The following is an 18934-nucleotide window of genomic DNA, read 5'->3' on the forward strand; positions in this document are numbered from 1 at the left end:
AGGCCTATGGCAGAAACATGTCTCCTTTCTTGGAGTCTGAGTAGACTTGATCAAAATCACCCACAGGTATAAATTCACATTATAATATCACACACCAAAGCCTCAGTGAATATCTTTATCTTGGACAAACATATGATCCATTCACTTAAAGGTGAAATCATGTGGTTGAACAAAGTATACTGCAATTCTGCTAAACTCATTTAGAAGCTGGCTCAAGGCCGGGTGCGGTGGCTCACGCCTGTAATCCCAGCACTTTGGGAGGCAGAGGCGGGCGGATCACTTGAGGTCAGGAGTTACAGACCAGCCTGGCCAACATGGCGAAACCCCGTCTCTACTAAAAATACAAAAAGTAGCCGGGCGTGGTGGCGCGTGCCTGTAATTCCAGCTACTCGGGAGGCTGAGGCAGGAGAATCGCTTCAACAGGGGAGGCGGAGGTCGCGGTAAGCCGAGATCGTGCCATTGCACGCCAGCCTGGGCAACAAGAGCGAAACTCTGTCTCAAAAAAAAAAAAAAAAAAAAGAAAAGAAAAAAGAATCTGGCTCAATATAGCTGTCCTCTGATAAAGCCCTGTGGCTCTCCTCCATCCCTTCGAACACACTCCTCCTTCCATTTCAGGCCCCAAGGCCTGTTCTGCAACTAATCTGACATCTTTCCATTACTTTGGAAGCCTAGGGCTCCACCACACCCTATCCCAACCAGATTTCTACCCTCCTACCAACAAACGTGCATGAGTTGACATACCAAACCAACTCTTAGGGCCAAACTAATCCTGTTCCCCCCAATTCTCGGAAACTCAAGCGTCCTAACAAATCTTAAGAGTCTGATGAGTCCATTCCTTTCCCTTGGAACGTCTGGCCCTTGCGTTGACCCCTCGGCTTCCATGGTCACAACTAGCTCTGGTTCTCCTGGCCCCTTCCTATCCCTCTCTTCGGGGCCTCTGCCAGAGCTCACACTGAACCTGTTTCCTCATCTGTAGGACCCTTGGAGGTTGGGAGGAGGCCTATATGACCCCCCCAATCCAACTCCGGATCTAACATTGAAGGGGCCCAGCATTCCCCTAGACCCTCACTCTTTCTCTTGCCCACGCCCCAAACTCCTTCTCCATCTAGGCTACCACCTCGCCCACGCGCCTAGCATCACCCGCCGCGGCCCAAGCTCCCCCAGCCCCTGCTTCCGGGCTTTCCTTGCAGTTCTGCTTCCGGCCCTCGGCCCTTCCCACAGCGGGGCGCCCCCGGCCCGCGCCCGGCCCCCGAGCCGCTCGCTCCCGGGCTCTCACCGCTCGAAGAGCAGCCTCACGAAGAAGATGCCCGCCGCCAGCGGGAACACCGAGAGGATGTGCCGGCCGCGGGGGTAACCGTAGCCGTCGGCCGGCCCCTCCAGATCAGCCCAGCTCACGTTCTCGGGTAGCCAGAAGCGCTCGCTCCACAGCCAGCCCCACAGCAAGCTTAGGGGTCCCTGCGCTGCTGTCGCCATCTTACGCCCACCCCGAAGCCACCGCCGCCACAAGCGTCAGCTGCCGCCACAGCCAACGGAACCCGCGGGGAGGCGGCCCCAGGGCGGGGCCCGGCCGGCGGCCACCCCCTTCCGGCCCCTTCTGGTCACTGCCACGGATCCGCCCGCCTCCCTGGCAGGGCCGGGCCTCTTCACCGCCCATCTCTCCTCCCGGCCCACTTCCCTCACTGCAACCCGGGGACCGCCTCCGGGGATCCACGCCCCTTCCCGAGCCTCTGACTCGCCCAGCCCGGCCCTGGGACCACGCCTCGGGCGGCCCTGGGCCCGCCCTCTTTTGCTGCTGGTCTAGGCCACGCTTCTACTCCTCCCTCACTCTTCCATCCAGCTACGGCCACACCCCTTATTTCAGGCCTAGCTCCTTTACGGGGACATTCTCCTTTCTCAGCCTGTTGGAATCGAATCCGTTCCGGCTCCCACCCAGGCGGTACCTCTGTCTCCACTCCCGGAGGCCAGATCGATCTCTCAGGTCAGGGCTTCTCTTGGATGTCAGCTGGTCCTGCCCACTACTGTCCGCCACTAGAGTTCTTTTCGCTCCCAACCTTTTCTTCCCTTCGTGCCCCGTGACCTCAGCCTACTTTCACTGCTTTATCCCTTAAAAATTAGTCACTTTTCCTCAGAAAAAATGGACTTAACAGTTTACAAAAGGCCGGGCGCGGTGGCTCACGCCTGTAATCCCAGCACTTTCAGAGGCCGAGGCTGGCGGATCACCTGAGGTCAGGAGTTCGAGACCAGCCTGGCCAACATGGCAAAACCCCGTCTCTACTAAAAATACAAAAATTAGCTGGGCCTGGTGGCGCTGTGCCTGTAATCCCAGCTACTCGGAAAGCTGGGACAGGAGAATCGCTTGAACCTGGGAGGCGGAGGTCGCAGTGAGCCGAAATCGCGCCATTGCACTCCAGCCTGGGCGACAGACCAAAGACTCCGTCCCAAAATAAAAATAAAAAAAGTTTACAAAAATCCTTTTATTCTTCTCTTGGGGAAAAGGAAATGGAAGAAAAACAAAGTGAAAAGGGAAGCACTCAAAAAGTATACGTAAAGGCAGGCCGGGTGTGGTGGCTCACGCCTGTAATCCCAGCACGTTGGAAGGCCAAGGCGGAAGAATCACCTGAGGTAAGGAGTTCGAGACCAGGCTGGCCATGGTGAAACCCCGTCCCTACTAAAAATACAAAAATTACCCGGGTGTGGTGGTGCATGCCTGTAATCCTAGCTACTCGGGAGGCTGAGGCAGGAGAATTGCTTGAGGCGGAGATCACAGTGAGCCGAGACCACGCCATTGCCCTCCAGCCTAGGCAACAGAGCGTCTCAAAACAAAAACAAACAAAAAAAGGCCGGGCGCGGCTCACGCCTGTAATCCCAACACTTTGGGAGGCCGAGGCGGGCGGATCATGAGGTCAGGAGATCGAGACCATCCTGGCTAACACGGTGAAACCCCATCTCTATTAAAATACAAAAAATTAGCCAGGCATGGTGGCGGGCGCCTGTAGTCCCAGCTACTTGGGAGGCTCAGGCAGGAGAATGGCGTGAACCCGGGAGGCGGAGCTTGCAGTGAGCCCAGATTGCGCCACTACACTCCAGCCTGGGCGACAAAGTGAGACTCGTCTCAAAAAAAAAAAAAAAAAAAGTATATCTAAAGGACCTAAAGGCAAAACAAAATAAATAGCCAATGTTTGATGAGGTTTCCTGTGTGCCAGGCACTGCATGGAACATTTTACACAGGTTATTTCACTCCTTCACCCTATAAAGTTGATCTTGTTATCCCCACTGGATAAGTAAACTGAGGTCCAGTGAGGCCAAACAACTTGCCCAAAGTTATGTAGGTAAGAAGTGGTAGCTAGTGTTAAGTCAAGTTTAATCTAAAGCTGCCTCCTTACATATTTAAGTTCGGCCTAAAGGTTTTCTGTACATTGTGAACTGTAACAAGTGGAGGTGTAAATCGAACGTAGACCACACCAGTGCCAATCACTGAATTTTGGCCAATCAAATGTAGCCAACTGTTCCAACCACGTTCAAATGAGACAAACGCTGATCTGTAACCAATCTGGTTGTTTCTGTACCTCACTTTCATTTTGCTGTCCATAAATCTTCCACCACGTGAATATGCTGGGTCTCTGTGGATATGCTGGGTCTCTCTGAATCTGCTGTGATTCAGGGGCTGCCCAATTTGAGAATCATACATTGCTCAAACTCCTTTAGGCTGGGCACGGTGGCTCACGCCTGTAATCCTAGCACTTTGGGAGGCCGAGGCAGGCGGATCACAGGTCAGGAGATCGAGACCATCCTGGCTAACATGGTGAAACTCCGTCTCTACTAAAAATACAAAAATTAGCTGGGCGTGGTGGTGCGTGTCTGTAGTCCCAGTTACTTGGGAAGCTGAGGCAAGAGAATCGCTTGAACCCAGGAGGCGGAGGTTGCAGTGAGCTGAGATAGCACCACTGCACTCTATCCTGGGCAACGGAGTGAGACTTTGTCTTGGAAAGAAAAAACAAAACAAACAAACAAACAAAAAACTCCTTTAAATTTGGCTGTTTTGTTTGTTTGCATGTTTTTTTGTGAGAAGGAGTCTCACACCCAGGCTGGAGCGCAGTGGTGCCATTTCTGCTCACTGCAACCTCCACCTCTGGGTTCAAGAGATCCTCCCTTCTCAGCCTCCCGAGTAGCTGGGACTACAGACACGTGCCACCACACCCGACTAATTTTTGTATTTTTTGATAGAGCCTGGGGTTTCACCATGTTGGCCAGGCTGGTCTCGAACTCCTGACTTCAAGTGATCTGCCTGTCTCAGTATCCCTGTTGGGAATGAAGTTTTTGGTGTTGCAAAAAGAAAAGAAAAGAAAACAAAACAAAAACAAAAAAACACGGGAACAAATGATCTCTCAGCAAGGAGAGCTTTACTTTCTGCAGAAAGGGTGCTGCTACTCAAAAGCTGTCTAGCCATGAGAGCACACCGAACAAAGGAGACAGAGTTATTTATAATCTGAGGTGTCTACCCTACTGCTGTGTCCATTTTCCATTGGCTGGAATAGGACCTCACATTTTACACTTTACCTGATTGGCTATTAGTTTAAAACTTTTAAAATTGGTTAAGGGGAACAGAACAAAGAAAGAAAAGGAAGTTGCCCAGGGATCATTAAGGAAGCATCACCAAATAAGGAATGGCATGCACTGTGGGCTGGGGCTTGTCTAGTTCTGTCCAGGCATGCAGGAGCAATCTAGGACAGCTGATTTGGAATACACACACACACACACACACACACACACACACACACACACATACATACACACACACACACACACACAGTGGATAGCAATCTTATAGTAAGAAATTGTGACTTTTTATAATCTTTGAAGAACTTTCCGATTTCTCACACTCCCAAAGTGCTGGGACTACAGGCGTGAGGCCACTCCGCCCAGCCTAAAGTGTTTTTTTTGTTTGTTTGTTTTGTTTTGTTTTTTGTTTTTTGTTTTTTTTTGAGACGGAGTCTCGCTCTGTCGCCCAGGCTGGAGTGCAGTGGCGGGATCTCAGCTCACTGCAAGCTCCACCTCCCGGGTTCACGCCATTCTCCTGCCTCAGCCTCCCAAGTAGCTGGGACTACAGGCGCCCGCCACTACGCCCGGCTAATTTTTTGTATTTTTAGTAGAGACAGGGTTTCACCGTTTTAGCCGGGATGGTCTCGATCTCCTGACCTCGTGATCCGCCCGCCTCGGCCTCCCAAAGTGCTGGGATTACAGGCGTGAGCCACCGCGCCCGGCTTTTTTTTTTTTTTTTTTGAAACGGAGTCTCGGTCTGTAGCCCAGGCTGGAGTGCACTGGCGGGATCTCGGCTCACTTCAGCCTCCGTCTCCTGGATTCAAGCTATTCTCTCCCCTCAGCCTCCCGAGTAGCTAGGATTACAGGCAGGCTCCACCATGCCCTGCTAATTTTTGTATTTTTAGTAGAGATTGTGTTTCGCTATGTTGGCCATGGAACTCCTGACCCAAGTGATCCACCCGCCTGGGCCTCGCAAATGGCTGGGATTACAGGCTTGAGCCACCACGCCCGGCCGAATTTTTTTTTTTTTTTTTTTTTTTTTTGAGACGGAGTCTAGCTCTGTCGCCCAGGCTGGAGAGCAGTGGCGCGATCTCGGCTCACTGCAAGCTCCGCCTTCCAGGTTCACGCCATTCTCCTGCCTCAGCCTCCCTAGTAGCTGGGACTACAGGCGCCCGCCACCACACCCGGCTAATTTTTTTGTATTTTTAGTAGAGACGGGGTTTCACTGTATTAGCAGGATGGTCTCAATCTCCTGACTTCGTAATCCGCCCACCTTGGCCTCCCAAAGTGCTGGGATTACAGGCGTGAGCCACTGCGCCCGGCCTAATTTTTGTATTTTTATGAGACGAGGTTTCACCATGTTGGCCAGGCTGGTCTTAAACTCCTGACCTCAGGTGATCCGCCCGCCTTGGCCTCCCAAAGTGCTGGGATTACAGGTGTGAGCCACCGAGCCCAGCTGGTTAGCTTCATTTTAGTTCAGTGCCTCTCAAACTTTAGCATCAGCTCAGATATCAGCTTGTCCCATCTCGCATAAAGAGAGTTTCTTTAAGTTCCTGGACCCCATCCAGAGAGATTCTGCTTTCATGAGTTTGGGGGTAGGATCTATGAATTTGCATTTCCCATTTCTAACAAACTCATAGGTGATGCCACTGCTGCTGTTCTGTGAACCACTGCCTGAAGCCACTTCCATCCAAACCCAGGAATAGCTTCATGGTAACTACACTATATTAAGATACAGTTTTAAAGGGCTGGGCAGGGTGGCTCGCGCCTGTAATCCCAGCACTTTGGGAGGCTGAGGCAGGCGGATCACCTGAGGTCAGGAGTTCAAGACCAGCCTGGTCAACATGGCAAAAATCCACCTGTACAAAAATATAAAAATTAGCTGGGCATGGTGGCAGGTGCCTGTAGTTCCAGCTACTCGGGAGGCTAAGGCAGGAGAATCGCTTGAACCCGGGAGACGGAGGTTGCAGTGACCCGATTGTGCCACTGCACTCCAGCCTGGGCAACAAATGGAGACTCCATCTCAAAAAAAAAAAAAAAAAAAAAAAGAAAAGATATATTTTAAAAGGAAGTAATAAACCCAGCCCCATGGGATTTTCAATCAGCATCTCAAGGAACAGAGGACATACTAACTTAGCATACAGGAACCACCAGTACACAATGATCTTGGTCTGAGACCCTATTCATGATTTTTTTTTTTTTTTTTTTTTGAGATGGAGTCTTGCTCTGTCACCCAGGCTGGAGTGCAGTGGCGCCATCTCAGCTCACTGCAACCTCTGCCTCCCGGGTTCAAGCAATTCTCCTGCCTCAGCCTCCCAAGTAGCTGGGATTACAGGTGCACGCCACTACATCTGGCTAATTTTTGTATTTTTAGTAGAGACGGGGTTTCGCCGTGTTGGCCAGGCTGGTCTCCAACTCCTGACCTCAGGTGATCTGCCCACCTTGGCCTCCCAAAGTGCTGGGATTACAGGCATGAGCTACTGTGCCTGGCCCCTGTTCATGATTCTATCCCCAGAAAAATGAGCATGTACCAATTCCCAGTCTCTTGGCTGTTGGGAAACATTGCTAATGAAATATGTAATGCAAAGCAAATTTACTTTCACCTTGCCCAAGAGTGATCCAGCAAGTCACTGGAACCAAGCTGGCCTTGTAGCAGTCATGAGCAGAGCCTCCTTAACCATCATAAGTCCCAAGCTGGCCCCTTTTTCTGCTTTACCAACAGAAAAGCTGTCATCACCCTATAGTCACCAGTGATATACCAGGTCCAAACAAGGTAGCCTTCATTTAGAGAGCTAAAAGAACAAATGATTAATGCTTTTTCTGTTTGGCTGCTTTTGTTTTCTAAGAATGTTCAGTGTTATCTGGTCATTCTTTTGGCTAGGACATCCTTTCTTTATATTGACTCTGGAGCTATTCCTTGTTCCTACTCTGTGTACCCATGATACGTCTATATCTTAGCCCTTGAAAGGCATAGAAAAGAGTTTTTTTGTTTTTTTTTTTAGATGGAGTCTCACTCTGTTGCCTAGGCTGGAGTGCAGTGGTGCAATCTCGGCTCACTGCAGCCTCCACATCCTGGGTTCAAGTGATTCTCCTGCCTCAGCCTCCTGAGTAGCTGGGACTATAGGCACGTACCACCATGCCCAGCTAATTTTTGTATTTTTAGTAGAGATGGGGTTTCACCATGCTGACCAGGCTGGCCTTGAACTCCTGAGCTTGTGATCCACCTACCTCAGCCTCCCAAAGTGCTGGGATTACAGGTGTGAGCCACCGCACCCAGTCAAAAAGAATTCTTCTGAGGGTAATCTCAGTCCCCAAGGGGTGGCCCACTCAACTGATATCCACAGGTACTTAAACTTTTTTGTATAAAGTCAGTGCATAATGTGAGTACCATGTGGATGGATTATAGTAAAACGCAAGTCACAGAAGTTCAAGCCAGGATTGGATATTTTATATCAGTGGGAGCTTTTGGATTAACGTGAATATGGATTTTTTTTTTTTTTTTTTTGAGATGGAGTTTTGCTCTTGTTGCCCAGGCTGGAGTGCAATGGCATGATCTTGGCTCACCGCAACCTTTGCCTTCCAGGTTCAAGCGATTCTCCTGCCTCAGCCTCTCTAGTACCTGGGATTACAGGCACCTGCCACCATGCCCGGCTAATTTTGTATTTTTAGTAGAGACGCGGTTTCTCCATGTTGGTCACGCTGGTCTGGAACTCCCAACCTCAGGTTATCCTCCCGCCTCTGCCTCCCAAAGTGCTGGAATTACAGGCATGAGCCACCACACCCGGCTTTTTATTTTTTTGAGACGGAGTTTCGTCGTTGTTGCGCAGGCTGGAGTGCTATGGTGTGATGTCCGCTCACTGCAACCTCTGCCTCCCGGGTTCAAGCGATTCTCCTGCCTCACCCTCCTGAGTAGCTTGGATTACAGGCATGTGCCACCACGCCCGGCTAATTTTGTATTTTTAGTAGAGATGGGTTTTCTCCATGTTGGCCAGGCTGGTCTCCAACTCCTGACCTCAGGTGATCCGCCCGCCTCGGCCTCCCAAAGTGCTGGGATTACAGGCATGAGCCACTGCGCCCGGTCTGAACATGGATCTTTAAATGACTCAGTGGGGGCAAGAGCAGAAAGTAGTATCCTACCAACCACTCAGAAAACCAGGCAAGACTCTAGAAAACACAGGGATCCTGGAAAATGTAACAGATGACTCAAAAAGCATGCCTTAACTCTCCAAGGAAATCCACATTTCAACCCTACCAATTAAAAAGAAAGCCTGAACAATTGGAACAGTTGCCTCTACAGGCAAGGATATCAATCAATCAAAAATGCATCTGCCCACTTGGTGTGAACAGTGATTTTTTTTTTTGAGACGAAGTCTAGCTCTGTCGCCCAGGCTGGAGTGCGGTGGCGCGATCTTGTCTCACTGCAAGCTCCGCCTCCCGGGTTCACGCCATTCTCCTGCCTCAGCCTCCCAGGTAGCTGGGATTACAGGCGCCCGCCACCACGCCCGGCTAATTTTTTGTATTTTTAGTAGAGATGGGGTTTCACCATGTAAGCCAGGATGGTCTTGATCTCCTGACCTCGTGATCCGCCCGCCTCGGCCTCCCAAAGTGCTGGGATTACAGGCGTGAGCCACTGCACCCGGCCAAACATTGATCTTAAAACAGCAACAACAACAAAAAAAAAAAAAAAAAAAAAGAAAAGAAAAAAAAGAAAAAAGCGCCAGGCACGGTGGCTTACACCTTACGTAATCCCAGCACTTTGGAAAGCCGAGGTGGGTGGTTCACGAGGTCAGGAGTTTGAGACCAGCCTGGCCAACATGGTGAAACCCTGAGTCTACTGAAAATACAAAAATTAGCCGGGCGTGGTGTCAGGCGCCTGTAATCCCAGCTACTCAGGAGGTCTGAGGCAGGAGAATCACTTGAACCGGGGAGGCGGAGGTTGAAGTGAGCCGAGATGGTGCCACTGTACTGTAGCCTGGGCGACAGAGCAAGACTCGGTCTACAAAAAAAAAAAAAAAAAAAAAGCATCTGCCTAAAGTGAAAAACAAGTCCATTTTCAGCAGAGACATTTGGAAATCCATTCAGCATGCTAGGCATAATTGTAAGGTGAATTATTCAATGTTGAGTGTTATAAACAATAAAAACCACCACTAGATTTCGAATTGGTAAAATACCTCATTTTGAATGCACACATTAATTCTCTTGCCAAGTTGCCTGCAATTTTCCAGAAAAATTTGTCTTCCTTCAGGGAGGATTGAAATCCAAGATCAGCCCAACACTACCATCTAGTGGTGAGATGTATTGATAATGCTTCTATTCAACTAAAACTTAAAAAAGTGGTACCATTTTTTTCTTCCCAAACTGCAAAAGTAGATCCTGAGAGACAGTAATAACGTAAGAAAATAATGGAAGAGAAACATTGAAAAGTTCAAATTTTAATTAAAATCTTTATTGAATAAAAATGTTTCAGACTAGGTAAGACTAAGAAAGCAGAATGTTTTACATCTCTAAAAAATATTAAAGCTAAATCTCTATAAATGCAGTACAAAGAAAAGCCTACAGCTTAAGACACCTCTCCCTCCCATCCATACAATTTGGAATATCAACTGTGTACAACAAATGTACTCAAGTTTATAATGTCCCCAAACCTTAAGACTAGAAAATCATCCCAAGAAAAAGGCCTATAGTTGGTTTAATTTCACCCTGAGAATACTGTGATAAAAATCAATATATTTCAGAGCTAGTAAGTATTTAAAAATTAGTGTCTCAAAAAGGGGACATCATAAGGGAAATACAGGGTTTAGAGGTCTGAGCTCAAGTGGTGTAAGACAGTTCTTTCTTCTTCCTCCTTTAAACTCTTCACTTTGCTCTAACACGGAAGATGGGGGACAGTGATCCCGAAGGTATTACTAAAATATTGCAGCTTTCAGTAATTATGAGAAGCACAGATATCACCAGAAAAGAAAGCAATCATTTGGAGTACAGTAAATTCACTGGCAGATACAAAAGCTTATTTGGGAGACAGCAGATCTCTCTAAGCACCGAAGAGTGTAGGTTGGTTTTTCAATTGCCTCAAAAAGTGCTCTGTTGTATTATACCTCAGGACGTCGAGTTCAGGATGTAGTTTAGAGAGCAGGACATAAAGTAGTAAATTCCTCATATATATCACAGCAAGAAAATTAACCTAAAAAATTTAAAGACTAAATAATCTCTTAACAGGTAAATACTAAAAAATTAAATTGGTATTCATTTAAAAATATACAAACTGTGCCCTTTATACTAAAGTGCATTCAGTCGTAATGTTTAAGCCCCTAAATTCCTTCTGTATGTTCTCTAATTCCAAAATAGTGTGTAACAATATACTACTAATCATCTGTCTACCTTAATATTGCCTTTTGGGAATACAGTAGAATCTGGGCTATTATCAGGTGGAATATTTCCCCAGTTACAAGCCTTACAGCACTTATGCATATCATCACTGCTAAAATGAAGAATTTAAGTAAAGTTATCTCTAGTATTTAGAATGTGTTTTTTGTGTTTTTTTGTTTTGTTTTTGATTTTAAGAAGGAATTCTTTTCCAAAGTTACTTCCAAGTAAATTACATTTCATGCTGGGATACCTGCTTATGTGCATCACATTTTGACAAAGGGCAGTGGCTCGCTAACACTAACATGAATTTAAGGCCCAGCATCATTGCAATTTGTCACTCTTCATCCTCATCCTCATCATAATACCGATTTCTCTTTATCTGTTCTTCCACAGAGAGCTCTTTGACCACTTCTCCCTCCCAGAGTTCCACATCCTGGGATTTCTGATTCTGAGTAGTGAATTCTTCAGCAAAGGTGTTGTCTACAAAACTCGACCAATTCAGAGACTTGGGTTCTTGTGGAGATTGTTGTTTGAGGAAGCTGTTATCATCTTCATCGGAGTCTGCACCATTTTCTACAAGATTCTCATTCTCCATCTCCAAACTATGACCTTCCTTACTTCTCTTCCCTGTCTCTCCTTTAGATTCTTTGTTTTGCCAGGTTGTTTTTCCCACATTCCCATTCTTCTTAGAAGCCTTGGCATTTTCCACTTGTTTCCTTTCTGCAACTCTTCCACCCACAGACTCTTCACTCTGCTCTGACATGCTCCAGCCTTTCCTGATAGGTGGGGACACAGTTTTTGGGCTCTTGACAGAGGTGCTTTGAAATGAAGCTGCTACAGTGAATGGGCGGCTTCTTTCCTTCAGTGAAGAAGATCGTCTTAGCTTCTTCAGATCTAGATCGACATCCTCAGGAACTTCGGGCTTGCTGATTTCGTCTTCAGGAGGCCATTTGGGCTTTGACATTTTGATCCCTTCCTCCAAGGCACTTCCTGAACTTCCAAGTTCAGTGGGGGGTGGCCAGGCGATCCTCAGCTTCTTGGTTTCAGCTGGCTTGTCTTCCTTCTCCTGCTGAGAGGAGGCCTTGGCTTCCATACTTGCAGCCAGGACACCCACCTTAGCAATAGGGGCATCTTCTACCCCTGGGCTGTGAGGGGTCTCCCTTGCATTTGCAAGCTGGGCTGGTCTCTCCAAAATCTCTTCGTTTTCATTTTTGCTTGCCCATAGATCCTTGTGTGGTCTGTGCCCAAAGCCTTCATCATAGTTGCCCTTAGATTTAAAGAGTTGATTGAAGTGAGGCTTACAATAGATTCTTCCATGTAAAGATGCATATGTTCCTAGACTGTCATTAAAAGAAAAAAAGCATAAACTTAGCAAATCTTCACATTCTCACTTATACCAGGAGGCTAAAATCTGGCAATTCCAGTATTTTCAGAAGATGCCAAGTAAGAAAAAGATCTTTAAAAGCCCTTCAGTGACCAGGAATTCCTTACCCCCATTTTAGCACATTTGTTTTCTTATCATAACACAAAGCACGGGTTGGGTGCAGTGGCTCATGCCTGTAATCCCAGCGCTTTGGGAGGCCAGGGTGAGAGGATCGCTTGAGCCCAGGAGTTTGAGACCAGCCCGGCCAACATAGTGAGAATTCATCTCTACAAAAAATTTAAAAATTAGCTGGGTGTGGTGGCACATGCCTGTAGTCTCAGCTACTTGGGAAGCTGAAGTGGGAGAATCACTTGAACCCGGGAGGCAGAGGTTGCAGTGAGCTGAGATTGTGCCACTGTGATAGAGCGAGACTGTCTTAAAAAAAAAAAAAAAGAAAAAAAAACCAACAGTAATAGAAACTTTAAATCATTCTGAGCCTTGAGAGGAATGTGGCTATGCAACCTGGGTCACACAGCATGTAGCTGCAACTCTTTCTTTTCACTATAAATTATGAAGACCAAAGGGCACCAGAGATAAGACCCCCTCAGATCACTATCCCTTCTTTGCGAGTGATAATCTTCCTTGGAATGTACCAATCTGTACCCAATCAAATCACTGTGGTATATGCACTGGTCTTATATGAAAAATGTCATAATCTTTGCTAAAATTTCTGTGTAAGTGAAACTAACTTTCTCCACTTTGGAATGCTGACCCCATTCATTTGGAGTCAGTGTTTCTGGGTAGCCATCATCAAGCTTTTGTGCTTGAATTAACTCTATTCTTAACGGTATATAAATACATATATATATATATATTTTTTTTTTCTTTTTCTTTTCTTTTTTTGAGAGAATCTCGCTCTGTCGCCCAGGCTGGAGTGCAGTTGCACAATCTTGGCTCACTGCAACCTCCGCCTCCCAAGTTTAAGCAATTCTCCTGCCTCAGCCTCCTGAGTAGCTGGGATTACAGGAGTGCGCCACCACGCCTGGCTAATTTTTGTATTGTTTTGTTTTGTTAGAGTCTCGCTCTGTCGCCAGGCTGGAGTGCAGTGGCATGATCTCAGCTCACTGCAACCTCTGCCTCCTGGGTTCAAGCGATTCTCCTACCTCAGCCTCCTGAGTAGTTGGGACTACAGGTGTGTGCCACCATGCACGGCAAATTTTTGTATTTTTAGTAGAGACGGGGTTTCACCATGTTGGCCAGGATAGTCTCGATCTCTTGACCTCGTGATCTGCCCGCCTCGGCCTCCCAAAGGGCTGGGATTACAGGCGTGAGCCACCACGCCCAGCCATTTTTGTTTTTTTTTGAGACAGAGTCTCGCTCTGTCACCCAGGCTGGAGTGCAGTGACACGATCTCAGCTCACTGCAAGCTCCGCCTCCCAGGTTCACGCCATTCTCCTGCCTCAGCCTCCCGAGTAGCTGGGACTACAGGCACTCGCCACCACACCTGACTAATATTTTGTATTTTTAGTAGAGACGGGGTTTCACCTTGTTAGCCAGGATGGTCTCAATCTCCTGACCTCGTGATCTGCCCACCTCGGCCTCCCAAAGTGCTGGGATTACAGGCATGAGCAACTGCACCCAGCCATTTTTTGTTGTTTTTTTTTTTGAGTGGAGGTCTTGCTCTGTCACCCAGGCTGGAGTGCAATGGTATGATCATAGCTCACTGCAGCCTTGACCTCCAGGGCTCAAGTGATCCTCCAGCCTCAGTCTCAGCCTCCCCAAATTTTTCATAGAGATGGGATCTCCGGCCAGGTGCAGTCCCAGCACTTTGGGAGGCCGAGGTGGGCAGATCACTTGAGGTCAGAAGTTTGAGACCAGCCTGACCAACATGGTGAAACCCCATCTCTACTAAGAAATACAAAAATTGGCCAGGCGTGGTTGCTCACACCTGTAATCCCAGCACTTTGGGAGGCCGAGGAGGGCAGACTGACTGAGGTCAGGAGTTCAAGACCAGCGTGGCTAACATGGTGAAACCTCATCTCTATGAAAAATACAAAAATTAGCCAGGCATGTTGCACACGCCTGTAGTCCCAACCACTCGGGAGGCTGAGGCAGGAGAATTGCTTGAACCTGGGAGGTGGAGGTTGCAGTGAGCTGACATCATCCCACTGCACTCCAGCCTGGGCGACAGAGCAAGACTCCATCTCCGGAAAAAAAAAAAAAAAGAAAGAAATTAGCTGGGCGTGGTGGTGCCCGCCTGTAATCCCAGCTACTCAGGAGACTGAGGCATGAGAATCGCTTGAACCTGGGAGACAAAGGTTGCAGTGAGCCAGGATCACACCACTGCACTCCAGCCTGGGCAACAGAGTGAGACTCCATCTCAAAAAGAAAAACCAGATGGGGTCTCTCTATGTTACCCAGGCTAGTCTTGAACTTCTGGCATCAAGTGATCCTCCTACCTGGGCACTCCCAAAATGCTAGGATTACAGGTGTGATCCTTATATCCACACCTAGATATAAGCTTGATTAATAGAAGAATGGTGAGGAGTTGACAGGAGGTAGTTTTTCCCTAATGTCAGTCCTAGACAAGCCTTTAGGAGATTTGGTGTCTCTTGCAGGATGATAAGTTTTATCTTTTTAAAGTTTTTTCCCTTAAGTTACGAACCATTCTGAAGAGTGACAAATGTTAAAGGGGGTATAAAACGGCAGCACTTCCACAAAAGAAATAAGGTGCTTTAAGCCAGGCACAGTGGCTCACACCTATAATCTCAGCACTTTGGGAGGCCGAGGCGGGTGGATCACGAGGTCAGGAGATCAAGACCATCCTGGCTAACATGGTGAAACCCCTTCTCTACTAAAAATACAAAAAATTAGCTGGGTGTGGTGGCGGGCGCCTGTAGTCCCAGCTACTTGGGAGGCTGAGGCAGGAGAATCGCTTGAACTCAGGAGGTAGAGGTTGCAGTGAGCTGAGATCACGCCACTGCACTCCACCCTGGGCAACAGAGTGAGACTCTGTATCCAAAAAAAAAAAAAAAAAAAAAGGTGCTTTGGAGAAAAAAATTAACACAGTGGGCAGCAGAAGAACTAATGAGTGGAAGTGACTGAGGTACACTTTGGCTGCATGTTTGGAGAAGCTGTCTAGCTAGAGCTATCTAATAGCTAGAAATGTCACACAGATGCCAAAACATCTTTCAAGAGTATTTTAGGAAGGATTGCTCAGAAAGGAAAGCTGGAGAAAGTGACATCTTGGTTACTTCCTTCTGTAAGACTCTATGATTAAAATGAGTTAATTTGGAATGTTTCCCCGATTTGTCACATTTATATTTGCACTTTGAGTTACTTGGAAGAAATGATATGTAACAACTATTTTCTCAGAAATAAAGTGAGGCAACATAGAGAAAAAGACATGCTCTCCAGGGGCTATTATTATTGCCATTATTATCATTTATACAGTGGTTAAGACAAGTAAGGGCTTAAACAAGTAACCTCTTGAGATTTCTTAACTTTGTGATTCTGTGATACCAAGGGAAAACATTCTATTAAATTAGGTCACAGGGGGGTTTACCTGCAACTCATATTATTTAAGCTTCGGTCCTAACATGTAAATTAACATATCAATACACCAAGAAGTTCCAAACACCATCATTATTTGGTATGAAAGACTTGTCACTAAATGATGCTTTTTACTTTATTCAAGAGCCTTCAACAGAATATCATTAGCACAGTAGCTTTTAGCACCAGTGCTCTAAAAGCCAAAGACTCCCTCTAGAGTTCCAGTTATAGACAGATGGCTTGTTTTGGGCTGACTTACCTGAGTTTGTTGTTGCAATAGGAGCAACGGAAGCAGCTGATGTGAAACACCTGCTGGTTGGCCAAGAGACGCTCCATTGGATAGACTGTCTTCTGACATTCCACGCAGGTCTCTCTTGCAGGTGCCTGAAACTTCTAGGAAAAACAAAAAGACAACTTTAGCATGGGCAGCGATGAGTTAGCACTGTCTTGAGATGGACCCTAGAATTTACTTTGTCTAAGGGCTCCCTTAGCTGGTCAGTCAATTCTCATGGAGCACTAAACCTGCTACAATTCTATCAGCTGACTCTTTAAAGCCAAGAGGCTCTCTTGATATTCCCTTCCCAAACTGTGTGGCTGCTCTAAATGTAGCAGCCACCAAGGATAGGTGGAGCTACGTCTGGATTACAAAGAATGGCTTAGACAAGTCACGACCCACATAAAAAATGTTAGGAGCAGGGGATGGGGGAAGGGGTCGGGGGGGGGAGTGCAGGGATTAGGAGAAAATGTTATCACACACAGAAGAAAGAAGTTTGATTCAAGTGCCAAGTAAACACAAGACAGATTCTAAAGGGGATAAATTTCAAGGAGAGGAAGAGCATTTGGCTTTGGGAATTAGGAAAGACATTTCAGTAAAGCCCCTTTTATTCTGCTCTGCTTATAATCTTGATTTGTTCAATCAACTAGACATACTATTTTTAAACAAGTCAAAACTGACACACAAGTGGAACAATTTATAAGAGACACAAAGTATTTTATTAGGACACCAGAGGGAAGCATAGCCCATTAAAGCTATAGGTTCTATAATATTTCTAAAAACCAATGGAGAGAAAAACTAATGCAATGGGAAACACACTGGTTAATGTATTAATGACTGGGAATTCATGAACTGTTTGTAAAGTTGGAACAAACATGGGCACAGTGGTTCTACCTGATAAACTCAATCCTAAAGAATATAAAACAGTTGGTATTCTAGCACTGATAAAAGCCAGAACTCCAAAAATATTATAAGCTTTCACATGATAAGAAATAGTTACATGGGCCAGGTGCGGTGGCTCATGCTTGTAATCCCAGCACTTTAGGAGGCCGAGGTGGGCGGATCATGAGGTCAGGAGTTCGAGACCAGCCTGGCCAACATGGTGAAACCCCGTCTCCAGTAAAAATACAAAAATTAGGCAGGCGTAGTGGTACACTCGTGTAATCCCAGTTACTCGGGAGGCTGAGGCAGGAGAATGGCGTGAACCCGGGAGGCAGAGCTTGTAGTGAGCCGAGATGGCGCCACTGCACTCCAGCCTGGGCGACAGAGTGAGACTCCATCTCAAAAAATAAAGAAAAGAAATAGTTACATGGCTACTAAGGGGTGGGGAGTAGATGGGAATGCAAAGTCCCTAGGTGTATGGGAGTTAACCCTTGACTTGCCCAACACAAACACCTCAACCAGTAGATGCGGGAGACAGCTTAGGTGGCCAGGAAGCTCTCATCAGCAATTAGGAGGTGCTTTTGCTGCCATGATCAGCCTGGGCTCTCACCAGAAAACACATGATGGTAAGTAATGCAAATTAATCCCAAGGCCCAGGACCTGGATAGTTAAGCCTGAAATGAACCAGGTTATGGGCAAGATAGAATTTTGAGTAAAAAAAATCCAAAATAGGCTGGGTGTAGTGTCTCACGCCCATAATCCCACACTTTGGGAGGTTGAGGTAGGCAGATCACGAGGTCAGGAGTTCAAGACCAGCCTGGCCAACATAGTGAAACCCCATCTCTACTAAAAATACAAAAATTAGCCGGGCATGGTGGCGTGTGCCTATAGTCCCAGCTACTCGGGAGGCTGAGGCAGGAGAATCGCTTGAACCTGGGAGGCAGAGGTTGCAGTGAGCCGAGATTGAGCCACTGCACTCCAGCTTGGGCAACAGAGTGAGACTTGGTCTCAAAAAAAAAAAAAAAAAAAAAAAACCCAAAACAGGCCCATAAAAAATTCAGACTGTTGGTTCACTTGCCACATGATTCACTAGGAGGTAAAGCAAAAAATAAAAATGGTTTTCCAAGTAGATTTGGGCAGGAAGTGAGAGCAGAAAATGTGCATAAAATGAAAATAAAGAAATCTATAAAAGGAAGTTTAATAAAATTAGTGGTAAACTCCCAAGTAGTGCCCAAGGGATTTAAGAAGGAAGGAACAAAGCTGAGTGGAAATGGCTAGTTACCAGGACTCTGCTTTATTCTAGGGGCAATGTCCTAAAAAGAAACATCTAAAGAATCAAAAGACCACAGGTTACAACCTAGTTTAGCATAAGGGAGGTATTTAAATATAACCAAATGTTATTGTAATGAATGTTGTTGCAAGTAATTAACACATTATCGTATTTGGAGTTCAGAATTCTTTTTTTCTTATATGGACACTGCTAAATGGAGATATCTTTGCAGAGTTTTAATTAAGTTTTCTCTAAAAGGACTAGGTCTTTGTCTAGGTAGGAGATACACTGGCCAGGTGCGATGGCCCAGGCCTGTAATCCCAGCACTTTGGGAGGCCAAGGCAGGTGGATCACTTGAGGTCGAAGTTCCAGAGCAGCCTGGCCAACATGGTGAAACCCTGTCTCTACAGAAAATGCAAACATTAGCTGGGCGTGGTGGCGGGCGCCTGTAATTCCAGCTACCAGAGAGGCTGAGGCACAAGAATCACTTGAACCCAGGAAGCAGAAGTTGCTGTGAGCTGAGATCTCATCACTGCCCTCCAGCCTTGGAGACAGGGCAAGACTCTGTCTCAAAACAACAACAACAAAAGGAGAGATATTAAAAAGCAGAATAAATTTTTGGTGTAATAGTATAATGGATGCTACTGGAGAGAGCCTGTACAAATCACAATTCACATAATGTAAAAGT

At 46.7% G+C, this 18934-nt stretch overlaps 2 protein-coding genes across 28 annotated transcripts in view, besides 5 other annotated features; both read right to left on the reverse strand.

Annotated features, from left to right (window-relative positions):
• CERS5 (ceramide synthase 5) overlaps window positions 1-1545 on the reverse strand; it is a 38081-nt gene extending 36536 nt beyond the window's left edge. For all 15 annotated transcript variants that reach the window (NR_138532.3, NR_104035.3, NR_138533.3 and 12 more), the window contains exon 1: window positions 1277-1545. Coding sequence is in view for 5 of the 15 variants with exons in the window: in NM_147190.5 (NP_671723.1) it covers window positions 1277-1473 (197 nt within the window). In the remaining 10 variants the exon portion in view is untranslated. The remainder of the gene's footprint in view (window positions 1-1276) is intronic.
• Window positions 892-1031: an enhancer, noted in NCBI's record as "active region_6348". NCBI's record gives its function as "activates an Ori minimal core promoter by ATAC-STARR-seq in GM12878 lymphoblastoid cells {active_cell/tissue: GM12878}" and the evidence as "EXISTENCE:reporter gene assay evidence [ECO:0000049][PMID:35858748]".
• Window positions 1172-1321: a silencer, noted in NCBI's record as "silent region_4447". NCBI's record gives its function as "represses an Ori minimal core promoter by ATAC-STARR-seq in GM12878 lymphoblastoid cells {active_cell/tissue: GM12878}" and the evidence as "EXISTENCE:reporter gene assay evidence [ECO:0000049][PMID:35858748]".
• Window positions 1422-1821: a silencer, noted in NCBI's record as "silent region_4448". NCBI's record gives its function as "represses an Ori minimal core promoter by ATAC-STARR-seq in GM12878 lymphoblastoid cells {active_cell/tissue: GM12878}" and the evidence as "EXISTENCE:reporter gene assay evidence [ECO:0000049][PMID:35858748]".
• Window positions 1922-2081: an enhancer, noted in NCBI's record as "active region_6349". NCBI's record gives its function as "activates an Ori minimal core promoter by ATAC-STARR-seq in GM12878 lymphoblastoid cells {active_cell/tissue: GM12878}" and the evidence as "EXISTENCE:reporter gene assay evidence [ECO:0000049][PMID:35858748]".
• Window positions 2133-2894: an enhancer, noted in NCBI's record as "H3K27ac-H3K4me1 hESC enhancer chr12:50561740-50562501 (GRCh37/hg19 assembly coordinates)". NCBI's record gives its function as "activates a minimal SCP1, AML or CMV promoter by ChIP-STARR-seq in naive H9 embryonic stem cells {active_cell/tissue: H9 hESC(naive)}" and the evidence as "EXISTENCE:reporter gene assay evidence [ECO:0000049][PMID:30033119]".
• Window positions 9964-18934, reverse strand: part of LIMA1 (LIM domain and actin binding 1) — a 107733-nt gene continuing 98762 nt past the window's right edge. For 11 of the 13 annotated variants that reach the window (NM_001394893.1, NM_001394892.1, NM_001394891.1 and 8 more), the window contains 2 exons: window positions 16080-16213; window positions 9964-12245 (listed from right to left, as the gene is read on the reverse strand). In NM_001394893.1, coding sequence (NP_001381822.1) covers window positions 11240-12245; window positions 16080-16213 — 1140 coding nt within the window. In that variant the 3' untranslated portion in view covers window positions 9964-11239. The remainder of the gene's footprint in view (window positions 12246-16079; window positions 16214-18934) is intronic. The other 2 variants (NM_001394890.1, NM_001394889.1) reach the window with 1 other exon arrangement.

This window comes from Homo sapiens, chromosome 12 (assembly GCF_000001405.40).
Source record: "Homo sapiens chromosome 12, GRCh38.p14 Primary Assembly".
NCBI classification, from domain to species: domain Eukaryota; kingdom Metazoa; phylum Chordata; class Mammalia; order Primates; family Hominidae; genus Homo; species Homo sapiens.